A 12,176-nucleotide genomic window follows, 5' to 3' on the forward strand; every position below is an offset into this window, starting at 1 on the left:
GCCAAATATGTTATTACAAGCAATTGTTGAAACTAACATCTCTTGGTGGTGTTGCAATTCTTTGGAAGCTCAGCCTTTGGAGTTGGTGCGGAAGACAATTGCTTCCCTGCGATTAGGCTGTCAAAATGGCTCCTGATATTTTCCTCTGATGCTCCCAGCTCTCCACTGACCTTGGTCTGCTCTGCTAGAGCTTTTACCAGTTTGTCTTTGACGGCGGGCTCTTGTTTGCTTTCCAATAAGAACTATAGCATCGTGTTTTTCTGCTGTTTGTTTTACTCCACACGTGTGGCTTCTTGTTGAGGATGTCTTGGTGAACAGCTGAGGATCTCTTGTAGCAATCACTCACAACAGTTCTTTGAGGTGCACGACAATTCTTACCGAGTTTGGATAGAGCCTTTTGTTGCTTGTCACTGACTTTTCAAGGTGGTCAGGGGCAGCTGCAGACAGGATGGGAATATTTCCACAATTGCTTGCCTGCCTGCCTCCTAAAGCCCAGCGAGGGGGAAAAGACAAAGAATCCAAGCTGCACCTGGGTAAATTTCATCAGGATATGAAGAATGATCGTAGACGAAGTGAAGGAAATAGGGTCCTGAGAGGAAGAGGAAGGCAAGGGTTAGGAGTATGTGTGTGTGTGTGTGTGCGTGTGTATGTTCATGTGCATGTATGTGTATGTGTATTATGAATATGTGTGCACACTTGTGCATGTATGTGTGTGCATGTGTGTGTATGCATGGTACAATAAAAGAGGAGTGTGATGACCAGGATGTTGATGTATCAGGAAAAGTCTTTTCTTTCTGGTTCAGAGAGACGTGAGAGGCCTCTGTGTATCCCTTAAGACTCAGTTTGCTCCGTAAAGTAACAGGAGTTGGTTGGAGAAGAAAGAAAAAAGGGGAAGGTAAGAAGGGGAGAAGAGAGGAGGGAAAAGAGAGGAAAGAAAGGAGGAGAGAAGGGAGAATAAGAAAGGAGAAGGGGAGAAGAGGGACTAGAAGAGGAAGAAGAAGAGGAAAGAAAAGACACAGCAATATGTGTCACCAAATTACCTGCTTCCCGTTGGATGGGGAAACAGTAATGATGAAGAGAAAAACAAACAAAAACCTTGTCTGAGGGTGACACATTGTGATTATTTAGCATTTAACTAGTCTCTGGGCAGTAGTTATTTTGCATGTAGGGGTTGCCCAGAATCTTCTTCCCCTTCCTAACAGATCATGGTTTCCCTTTACAGAGGAATTCTTCCCCACTGGGTGTGGTTTTGGATAAAGAGTATATTCAGGTGCCTGTCACCCCATTACAGAAGCCAAAGGGGAGAGATCCCTTGGCCCAGGGCAGTCAGAGGTGGATGGGCAGGTGTCCTGAGCTTGGTCAATTACAGGCTATCTCTTTTTTTTTTTTTTTTTTTTTTTGAGATGGAGTTTCACTCTTGTTGCCCAAGCTGGAGTGCAATGGTACAATCTCAGCTCACCACAACCTCCGCCTCCTGGGTTCAAGCGATTCTCCTGCCTCCACCTCCTCCCAAGTATCTGGGATTACAGGCATGTGCCACCACGCCTGGCTAATTTTGTATTTTTAGTAGAGACAGGGTTTCTCCATGTTGCTCAGGCTGGTCTTGAACTCCTGACTTCAGGTGATCCGCCCACATCAGCCTCCCAAAGTGCTGGAATTACAGGTGTGAGCCACCGCTCCTGGCACAGGCTGTCATGTTGAACTTAGAACCTTGAGTGAGGGACAAGGGCAGCAGAAGAGTTTGGATTTCCTTCATCTTGGTGGGGATGGCCGCACAGGACTCATCTGCTCCGGGGCTATTGCTGTGGTTCTTGCTTCCTGAGCATTTCCAAATCCATGGCTTCCTCTTCCTCTGTGAGCTCCATGTCCTCACTCCACATTCACTGCAGCGCTATGCACAATAGCCAAGACCCAGAAACAACCTAAATGTCCAGCAGTGGAAGAATGGATAAAGAAAATGTGGTATAGACACACAGTGGAAAATTATTCAGCTTTAAAGAAGAAAGAAATCCTGCCATGTGCAACAGTGTGGGTGAATCTGGAGGACATCACGCTACATGAAACATAAAGACAGTCACATAAAGATGAATATTGCGTGATTCCACTTATATGAGGTATCTAACATATCCAAACTCATAGAAGCTGAGAGTGGAATAGTGGTTGCCATGGGTTAGTGGGAGAAGGAAATGATTGGGTAGTTGCTAGTCAACAGACATACAATTTCAGTTATGCAAGATAAATAAGTTCTAGGAATATGTTGTACAACATTGTACCCAAAGTCAATAATACTGAATTGTACACTAAAAAATTTGTTTAAAGGATATATCTGAAGTTAAATGTCCTTACTACAATTTTTAAAAATCCATAAAATGAAAACAGAAAAGGACTGTCCAGAGAAGGGTCTGTAGAGATTTGAAGGGTACTTAAAAAAAAATCCATTTGTTTACATCAGTCAGGTCAGAGAAGGTTTCTGTTGCTAGCAACCCAAGGACATGCATTGATCAGCCAGTGATCCTTGTTCCATAGTAATACGTCACAACTGATAGAACTTTACTCTGAACAAAGTATAGCCATGTACACCATTTAATTTTAATCCTCATTGTTGCCGATGTGAAGTGGTCAGGGCTGGCATCATAAGCTTGTTTTATAGATGAGAAATTTACCGCACAGAAAAAGCCAGCCATGTGTCCATTATTCCCTAGTGTTTAAGAAATAGGGACTCACAGAGATTCCATTCAATCCCCCCATTTTACAGGTGAGAGAATTGAGTCCAAAAAAGTGAAGTGAAAAGTCTAAGGTCATACACAGTGTCAAACTGGAATGCAAATGCAGCTTTTTATAACTCAAAGTCTAATGCCAACCATTACATACATGAGAATTGGCCCCAAAAGAGATAATAACAGTAACCTATAGTTGACATCAGAGCCATGTTTGAATAAATAGTTATCAGATGTCATTTCCCCCTTAATTTGTACAGCATCAGAGGCCAAGAATTCTCACATTCTGTGTATTACACCTTAGAGCATTCCAGGCACTAAAGTTGTCAAGCTAGAAAAAGAGAGAAGGTTTGAATATTCTCTCCAACTAGATAATCATAAGAACATTCCCCTCATCCCTGAGCATTTTTTTTTCCAACCACTGTACTCCAACTGCCCAAAAGTTCAATTTTCTTTAAGAGCCTCAGAAATAGTCCTAAGAGGGCGGCATGAGGAATTAAGACCAATGAGAGTGAAGGTACTTACCAGAATCCTCCCTGCGGGGATAAAACACTGAAATGTACAGAAAGCATGACTCATCAATGTACAGATAAGGCTGGTTCCGCCAAGCAGCAACGATGACAAAAGCAGAATAGCCAGGAAGGCCAGCAGGTAGGCAATCCAGTGGCTGGGCCAGACTAAGTGAGGCAGAGCAATGAGCTGTCCTACTCAGGAAAGTTCCAGAATGTCCCTAATACCTGAGCACTGAAGGCTTCATTCTCTTTAACAGCCCTGTGTTCCTGGGGACTGTGTATCACTGATCTAAGAGACCAGTTTACAATGCAATGTGGGGTTATAGTACCACTCTGCCTCTCTCTGAAACCAACATTGTCAGGGGAGAAGCTATACGAGACTTACAAAGAGGCTTTAGGGCTTTGCTCAACGTTTGCAGGTGAAGGTTAACCATACACATGGCAGCAAATTCCTAAAGCCAGCAGGTCATTGGAGCCTTCTTAAGTGAGGCACATAAAGATTTTTAAAGTTGGATATTTTCAAATCTGGAAACAAACATTATGATTTGTCGGCATAAGATTCCAAACTCTAGAGCCTTGGGTTAAGAGGCCCGCGTGACCTTGACCAAGTCGCTTCTTGTCTCTGTGTCAGTGTTTCCTACCCGTAAACTAGAGATAAAAATGGCATTTACCTCTTAGGGTTGCTATTAGAGTAAAAAAAATAACGGTTCCTGAAGTTTAGCCATTTTGGTACCACGTGCATGATTTTTGTCACTTGTACTATTATTTACGGGATGTCTCTGTTTAAACTGCTTCATGTAAAAATCCCTCTATTTAAAAAAATTGTATATTTAACATTTGTTTAAAAATTAAAATTTACCATATATATGCAAACTAGCATCTCTTGCTGTATAAAGAAGGAAACCATTTTAAAAATCATGGGAGAGGTCGGGCGCAGTGGCTCATGCCTGTAATCCCAGCACTTTGGGAGTCTGAGGCCGGCAGATCACCTGAGGTTGGGAGTTGGAGACTAGCCTGAGCAACATGGAGAAACTCTGTCTCTACTAAAAATACAAAATTAGCCAGGCATGGTGGCGCATGCCTGTAATCCCAGTTACTCGGGAGGCTGAGGCAGGACAAGCGCTTGAACCTGCAAGGTGGAGGTTGCGGTGAGCCAAGATCGTGCCATTGCACTCCAATCTGGGCAACAAGAGTGAAACCCTGTACGAAAAAAAAGTGTAGGGGGAAAAAGCCAATGCCATTAAAATTCTAGCTAGCGCTGTTGCCTGCCAAGGCTCTGAGAGTGGGGCAGGTTCATTCTTTGCTGAAAGGAGGAATTAGACACCGTTAGAGAGGCGTTAAAGACGTGCTAGCACCCCCCTGAGACTTTCTCTTAATGTTTTTAGAATGACGGGAAAGAGATGACCTCTTTCACCAACTGCTTCAATATTATTTCATATAGGGTCTGAGAACCCTAAAAACAATCTCCTCTATGGTCCCTACTGACTATCTGGAGAGACATTGCATTATTGTATTACACAGAACTTGGCCCATTGAACACAATCAACATGTACTTTTTTCTTCCTTTTCTCTTTTTTCCTCCTTCTTGAGGGACCGCTGGAGGTTTAAATCTGGTAGCAACATCTCCATTGGGGACTACATTTGTTTTTAATCAACTGCCAGGGCTGATTTGGTTTGTGGACGGTGTATGGGAAATTTGTTCTCAGTTTAAAATGCAGGTCAACACCCATCTGTTATATTGTGTTTTCTGGTCTAAATGTGGCTTTAGAGGTCAAAATGTGTTGGAGCAGAAATGAGAAAGAAGTAACATTTTTGAGGACTTCCTACATTTTCTATTCTTTCCACATATTGTATAATTTATTTCTCACAACTCTTCGTTAATAGAAAGCATTGCCCTCATCTTAGAGGTAATAGCTATCAATTATGGAGAGCTTGTTTTGTGATACACACTCTGGTAAGAACTGTCCTGTTGAAAAACATCCACCAATGCCTTCCCTTCTGAAGTAGAGGAAAATAAAAAATACCAACAAGGGTGACAAGGCCTCCCAGGATTTAGTCCCAGATTGGCTCCAGGACTGTCCCTCCCTTTGTTCAGTATGTCCAGACACACTGGCCTTTTATTTGCTCCATGCACGCAATAAACTCTGTGTTTTTTTTCCTCAGGGCCTTTGCACTTGCTATTTTCCCTACTCAACCATCATGCTGGTCTGTGCTCAAACCTCACCATCTGCCTCCAAAGCAGCTCTAGTTTGATCACTGCTTGACATTATTTTGTGATTTTAATAATTGTTTATCCTCTATTTCTTCCTACTTTAATGTGAGGTCCATGACAACAGGGACCTTGTCTGTCTTGTCACCATCAGAGCATGCCTGGCTTATAGAAGGTTCTTAGTAATGTTCATTGAATGTATGACCTATATCATTTCATTTCCACCATCCTAACAGGTAGGTAAAACTGCCTTCTCCATGTTACAGATGAGGGGGCAGAGCCTCAGAGAGCTTATAAGTAGCTTACCTTAGGTTACACAGCTAATAAATGGCAGACCCAAGATTTAAACCTGGGTAGTCTGACTCCAGAACCATTATACTGAGGTCCCAATATTGAAGTTGTATGCTTAAGGTCACCTAGATACTAAGCATTCTAGGCCAGCCCTGTCTGATCCCAAATTTCCTACTGTAGCCACTAGATCATGTTGTTTCCTGGAATAAGAGAATCTGCGATTTCAGAGCATTGATTGCTCAAATGCTTGAGGTCAGTTCGTGCCCATGTTGGTTGATGAGGAGGTGACTGAACTGCAACCACTAGTCATACCTCATAGATTTTTGGTGACAAGTGTGCATAAGACAAGCCCTACTAGTTATCATTAATGAAACTACCTAGGTTTGCAATCCCATAGTTAGCCTCTGAGGGTTTGTCCCCAGAACCTAGCTGCATTTTTGTCTGTTGAGTTTCACCCACCTTGCAATCCCACCTTCTCTTGTTACCTACTGCCAACTCTAGACCATGCTGTAGCATCAATCTACCAATGTTAGTTTTTTTCTTCCACTCTATTACATATCTACAAACTGGAATTAATAATAGTATCTACTTTATGGGTTTGTTGTAGGAATAAGTTGTCAAATAAATTTCACCTTGGCTGACATGTTCCTCATGTTTCTTGGCAAAGCACAAAGAGTTCTTTATAATTTGTCCTTAATGCATTCTTCCATATCTCTGTCCCAGCCCCTGACCCAAATGGCCTAATTCTTTGCCAACTCTTTGAAACTCAAAGAAACATAGTTAGCTTTGAATCTCAGAACCCTTGCTTACTAACTGCAAGGAGTTTGGCAAGTAGTTTAACCTCTTTACACCTTAGTTTCCTCATTCATAAAAAATGGCAGCGATATTTCCTAACTTTGCAAAATTATGAGTATTACATTAAATCATGCACACAATATGTATTGGTTGAATGATCTCATTTCTTCTCAATAAGATGGGTGGATGCAGTTATCATGTCTATTTTAAAGATAAGGAAATGCCAGAAATTAAATCAGTTGAGCTCATGGGCATAGAGAGTAGAAGGATGGTTACTAGAGGCTGGAAGGGTAGTGGGGGGTTGTTGGGGAGGTGGAATGGTTAATAGGTACAAAAACTTAGAAAGAATGAATAAGACCTACTATTTGATAGCACAATAAGGTGACTATAATCAATAATAACTTAACTATATATTTTAAACTAGTTTAAAAAATATAATGGGAGGCCAGCTGCAGTGGCTCACGCCTGTAATCCCAGTATTTTGGGAGGCTGAGGTGGGCAGATCACCTGAGGTCAGGAGTTCGAGACTAGCCTGGACAACTGGTGAAACCTCATACCTACGAAAAAATACAAAAATTAGCTGGGCGTGGTGGTGCACGCCTGTAATCCCAGTTACTTGGGAGGCTGAGGCAGGAGAATCACTTGAATTCAGGAGGTTGCAGTGAGCCGAGATCATGCTACTGCATTCCAAGCTGGGCAACAGAGGGAGACTCAGTCTAAAAAAAACCAAATATATATATATATATAAAATTGGATCATTTAAAACTCAAACAATAAATGCTTGAGGAGAGGGATACCCCATTCTTTATGATGTAATTATTTCACATTGCATGCCTGTATCAAATCATCTCATGTATCCCATAAATATATAAGCCTATGTACCCCCCAAAATGTTTTAAAAAAATTAAAAGATGAGGAAATGGAGGTTCAAAGAGAATACCTTTAAGTACTTGCTTGAGGTTGCATGGACAATGGTAAAACTGGATTTGAGCATAGACAGTCTGACTCAAGAGGCTGCACTCTGAGCCATTTCATTGATGTACCAAGAAGTTAAATATCATCAAGCTACAAATAGCTTTCTTTCTTCTACTCTATCATTCATCTGTAAAATGGAATTAATAATAGTATCTACCATGTGGGTTTATTGTAGGGATAAAATATGAAGTGAAATATCAAATTTAAAGAGCTTAGTATGTTATTTGGAATGTAGTAATTATGCAATGAGTCCTATTAGTAGTTGTAATGGCATTACCATGCTTGACTGAATCAGGATGCATTTGACTGCAAGTAACAGAAAATCTGATTCAAATGGATGAAACAAAAAGGAAATTTATTTTTCACGTGACAAGAAGTCCTGAGGTTGAGCTGCTTAGGGTGTTAAGTCAGTGATTGAGTGTCAAGGGCCCAGATTTTTCTTTTTCTGTCTTCTGCTCTGTTATCTTTGATGTTTCAGTTTTCCTTTCTATCTTGTTCTTCTCATGGTTGCAAGATTGTGGCAGCTACTTCGTGCATATTGCACAGAAAAAAGGCCATTTCTTCTCTTGTTCATCTTTATTTATTTTTTTTCACTGAGGAGAAATTTTCCCCAAAGTTCCCCTATTCCCTAAGACTTCTTAGATTTTTATGGCCAGAGTTATGTCACCATCCCACACCTCAACCAGTTGCTAGAATTGCACAAGAATGAGTGGCAGAGTTTCACAACCACAAAACCAATAGTCCAACTCTACTCTCAATCTGAGTGATGGTGGGCAAGTGACTCTCTAAGTCTCAGATTTTTTCGTCTGTGAACTGGAGATACCATTGACTAATTCTCAATATTATAGTGAGATTAAGTAAGATGATGGCAAGTACCAGACATCTTAGTAGGTAGTCAGTCTTCATCCTCTTTGACACTCTCAGTCATCACAGAATGGTTAAATGGTACTGAATATTCAAACGTTGAATTTAAAGACCTGCCTCATCATTTACTCCCTGTGAGTCTGTGATTACATTGCTTAATTTTCATTTTTTCTTAGAATTTAAGTGATAGCAGGAATTACTATAATATATACTTGTTGCCTTTTATTGTGTGCTTCCTAAGTGATAGGTGTCATAATAGTTACTTTACATGCATTCTGCAATGTAATTCTTATGAAAACTTATATTACTTAAGCATTGACTCTATTTTACAGGTAAAGGGTTAAGTAACTTGACAAGATCAAATAACTAGTAAGTGGTGAAGCCAAGAATTGAAGCATGATTTATCTGTATTAAAAGCCCCACACTTTTAATGCCTATATTTCCTATTATGGATCTCAGTTTCTTCATCTGTAAGTGGGCATAACAAGATCTTTCCTTGCCCACTTCACAAGGTTTGGAAGACAATCAGATAATATTGAGTCTGTGAAATCCCAGAAAAATAACTGCATAACTAGAGATCACTCTTGTTAGTGTGGATAACAACTGGTGCTTTACCAAGGAAACACAGTCCAGCACCCTCAGGTTATAGCTGCTGATGCTGAATTACCACCATCCACCTCCTCTCTTAAGGAGTCTGGATTCTTAGTCTCTCCTTCTCTTTCCACACTCTGAGGTATCCATATATCTCATTCTGTTTCATATGCCCTGGGGCTCTAGCTCTTCTTCCAAGGTGAAAATGATATAATATGGTAAATTAATCAGTGCCAAGGGGCTAATGGGAGGATGATATAGGAGGTGCTGGAGGCACTATTAATATGGTCTCTACCCCTCTCTCCCTCCCTCTTCTCCCTCCCTCTATTCCTCTATGTTTTTCTGCTTATTCCTGGCACTCCTCAAGATGTCTACTTTGGTAATAGTTTCTGGATAAATGCCTTCTGTTCTCCCATCTCATCTTCCTCCACTGCAGTGGCTCTCAATCACAATCAATTTTGCTCCCCAGGTGACAATATCTGGAGATATTTTTGATCATTACAGCTGGGAGATGGAGCACTGCTACTGGCATCTAGTGGATAGAGACTGGGGTGCTGCTCAACACCCTACAATGCACAGGACACACCCCTATGACAAAGAATTATCTGATCCATAATGTCAGTAGTGCTAAAGCTGAGAAATCCTATTATCAAATTCCTTAAGGATTCTGTGTTATAAAGATTAAGTCATTGGAAGGAGATCAGTCAAGCCTTATTTTGGTTTTAGGTTTTAAAAGCAAATTCATGGGCATAAAGCATTGTTTTCCCAGGATCCAAAACTCTCTTTTGCGAATAGATTCCACCCCTGATCATAGGAATGAATATATATTATCTCACTAATACACCTGGTTTCAGAAATTGGTCAAAGGAGAAGAAAAGACCCACATGTGACCAATCAGAGTTCTTCCAGGGGATTTTTTTCAAGTGGGAGGTAGAGGAGAAAATTCTTTTTCTGTTCTGCACCCAGGGCTGTTCAAATGGAAACTGAGGGATACATGTAGCAGAAAAAGCCTAGATAGGAGATCATAAAATTGATGTTCAGAAAGAGACAGCACGGATGAGATAGAGATGTTGTCTTAGTTTGTTTTGTGTTGCTATAACAGAATACCACAGAGTGGGTAATTTATAAAGAAAAGAAATTTAATTCTCACAGTTCTAGAGGCTGAGAAGTTCAATATCAATGTGCTAGCATCTGGTGAGGGCCTTCTTGCTGTGTCATCCTGTGGGAGAAGGTGAGAGGGTGGAAGAGCATGTGAGAGAGCGAGAAAGCAACAAGGAGCTGAACTCACTTTTGTAACAAGCCCACTGTCATAATAACTAAACTACTACCACAATAACAAACCCACTCCCATGATAACAACATTAATCCATTCATGAGGGAAGAGCTCTCATTACCTAATCACCTCCTAATACGCTTTGCATTAGGGATTAAGTTTTCAACACATAAACTTTGGGGACACATTCAAACCACAGTAGATGTAGACAAACTGATGGCATTGGAGACCCTGGTTGTAGCCATTTCTTAGCACCAGCTCTGATCCTTTTTATATCTATTCTCTTTCTCCACTTATTTTGGGACTCCAGTAACATGAATGTTAGATCTTCTGTTCTAGTTCCCCTGAGGATTTGTTCACTTTTCTTTTTTTCAGTCTCCTTTCCCTGTGTTGTTCAGATTGGGTAATTTCTATTGTCCTATCTTCCAGTTCACTGATTGTTTCTTCTCTCCCATTCATTCTGCTGCTGAGCCTCTTGGCTGAGTTTTTAAAATGTTGGTTATTGTATTTTTAAGTTTTACAATTTTCATTTGGTTCTTCTTCCTGTCTCCTGTTTGTTTGCTGACACTTTCGGTTTATTTACTAAGGTTCTCTATTTTTTCATTTGTTTCAAGTGTGTTCGTATTTGCTCATTGAAGCATTTTTTTTACGATGGCTAATTTAAATTCCTTGGGAGATTGTTCCACTATCTCTGGCATCTTGATGTTGGCAGCTATTGATTGTCTTTTAAAAAAATTCAGTTTGAAATATTCCTGGCTGTTGGTATAAGGAGTGATTTTCTACTGAAGCCTAGACATTTTTGTATGTTAGGAGACTCTGGATCTCATGTAAGCCTTCTATTTTAGCTGGGATTCTCTAACACTGCGCTGGCATGGGAAAGCATGGTGGTGTCACCTGTTACTGTCAGATGGAGGTAGAAGTTGTATGTATATTTGCTTTACATGTAGTATGCAGGACTTTTAGTTGGACTTAGCAAAAGGTAAAAGTATATCTACTTAACTTTCTTGAAAATCAATTTCTTTTATTTATAAACATCTACTAAGGGGTATAATGTAATTCAAAGTGCATACATATTGCAGTCAGATCCAGCCAAGTCAGAATCCTGAATCTTCTACTAATAGAATGTTCTGAGAAGCAAAGACAATATACAGCACTTCTTGAAGTACTTTCCATACATTCTCACTTAACTTTCACATCAAATTGGTGAGTTGGTCTTATCAACATAGTTTTACAGATAGGAAAACAGACTTGGTGAGGCAAAGTAATTTTTTCACGAATATTTTGTTCTGAACTTTCCACCACATCGTGGATGAGATACAGATAAGGAGAAACCTGAAGAAGACTATGAGTGGCAGCTTAGTGAAAAGTAGCATGGAAAATTGAAGACTGGGCAGCATGGTAGGCTGGAAGCAAATTTGGGATAGGCACCACAAGACCTTGAATCTAGTCCCAACTTGGTCACCGGGTTAGTTGAGTACTCTTGGACAAGTCACTTATTCCATCTGGATCTTGCCTTCTGGCAAATGAAGAAGCATAGGGTTACATGGTATCTAAGACACTTTTCATTGTTATAATTTTATGATAAATCTGAGAGACATGAAGTGCCAAGGACATTCTAGACACTATATAGGAGAATGAAGATCTATTAAACTCAGAAAGAGACACAGAACATTAGCACATATAAACTCAGAAAGAGACACAGAACATTAGCACATAACTACAATGCTGAAAAATACTTTAGCAAAGACCTTGGTCAAGGGGAGAAAAAGGGTTATTATCCATGAAGACATTTTAAATGCCTCAAGGTCATCAAGTAATTCAGGCTGACTCTTCTCTTGGAGGAGATGCTTTTTTTTTTTTTTTTTTTTTTTTTTTTTTTGGTGAAAAGGAGCTGGAAACTACCTCTTTCTTGAGATTTGCCTTCATGCCCCAGGCTGACTTCAGCCACC

Source organism: Homo sapiens, chromosome 16, assembly GCF_000001405.40.
Source record: "Homo sapiens chromosome 16, GRCh38.p14 Primary Assembly".
In the NCBI taxonomy this organism is placed as follows: Eukaryota; Metazoa; Chordata; class Mammalia; order Primates; family Hominidae; genus Homo; species Homo sapiens.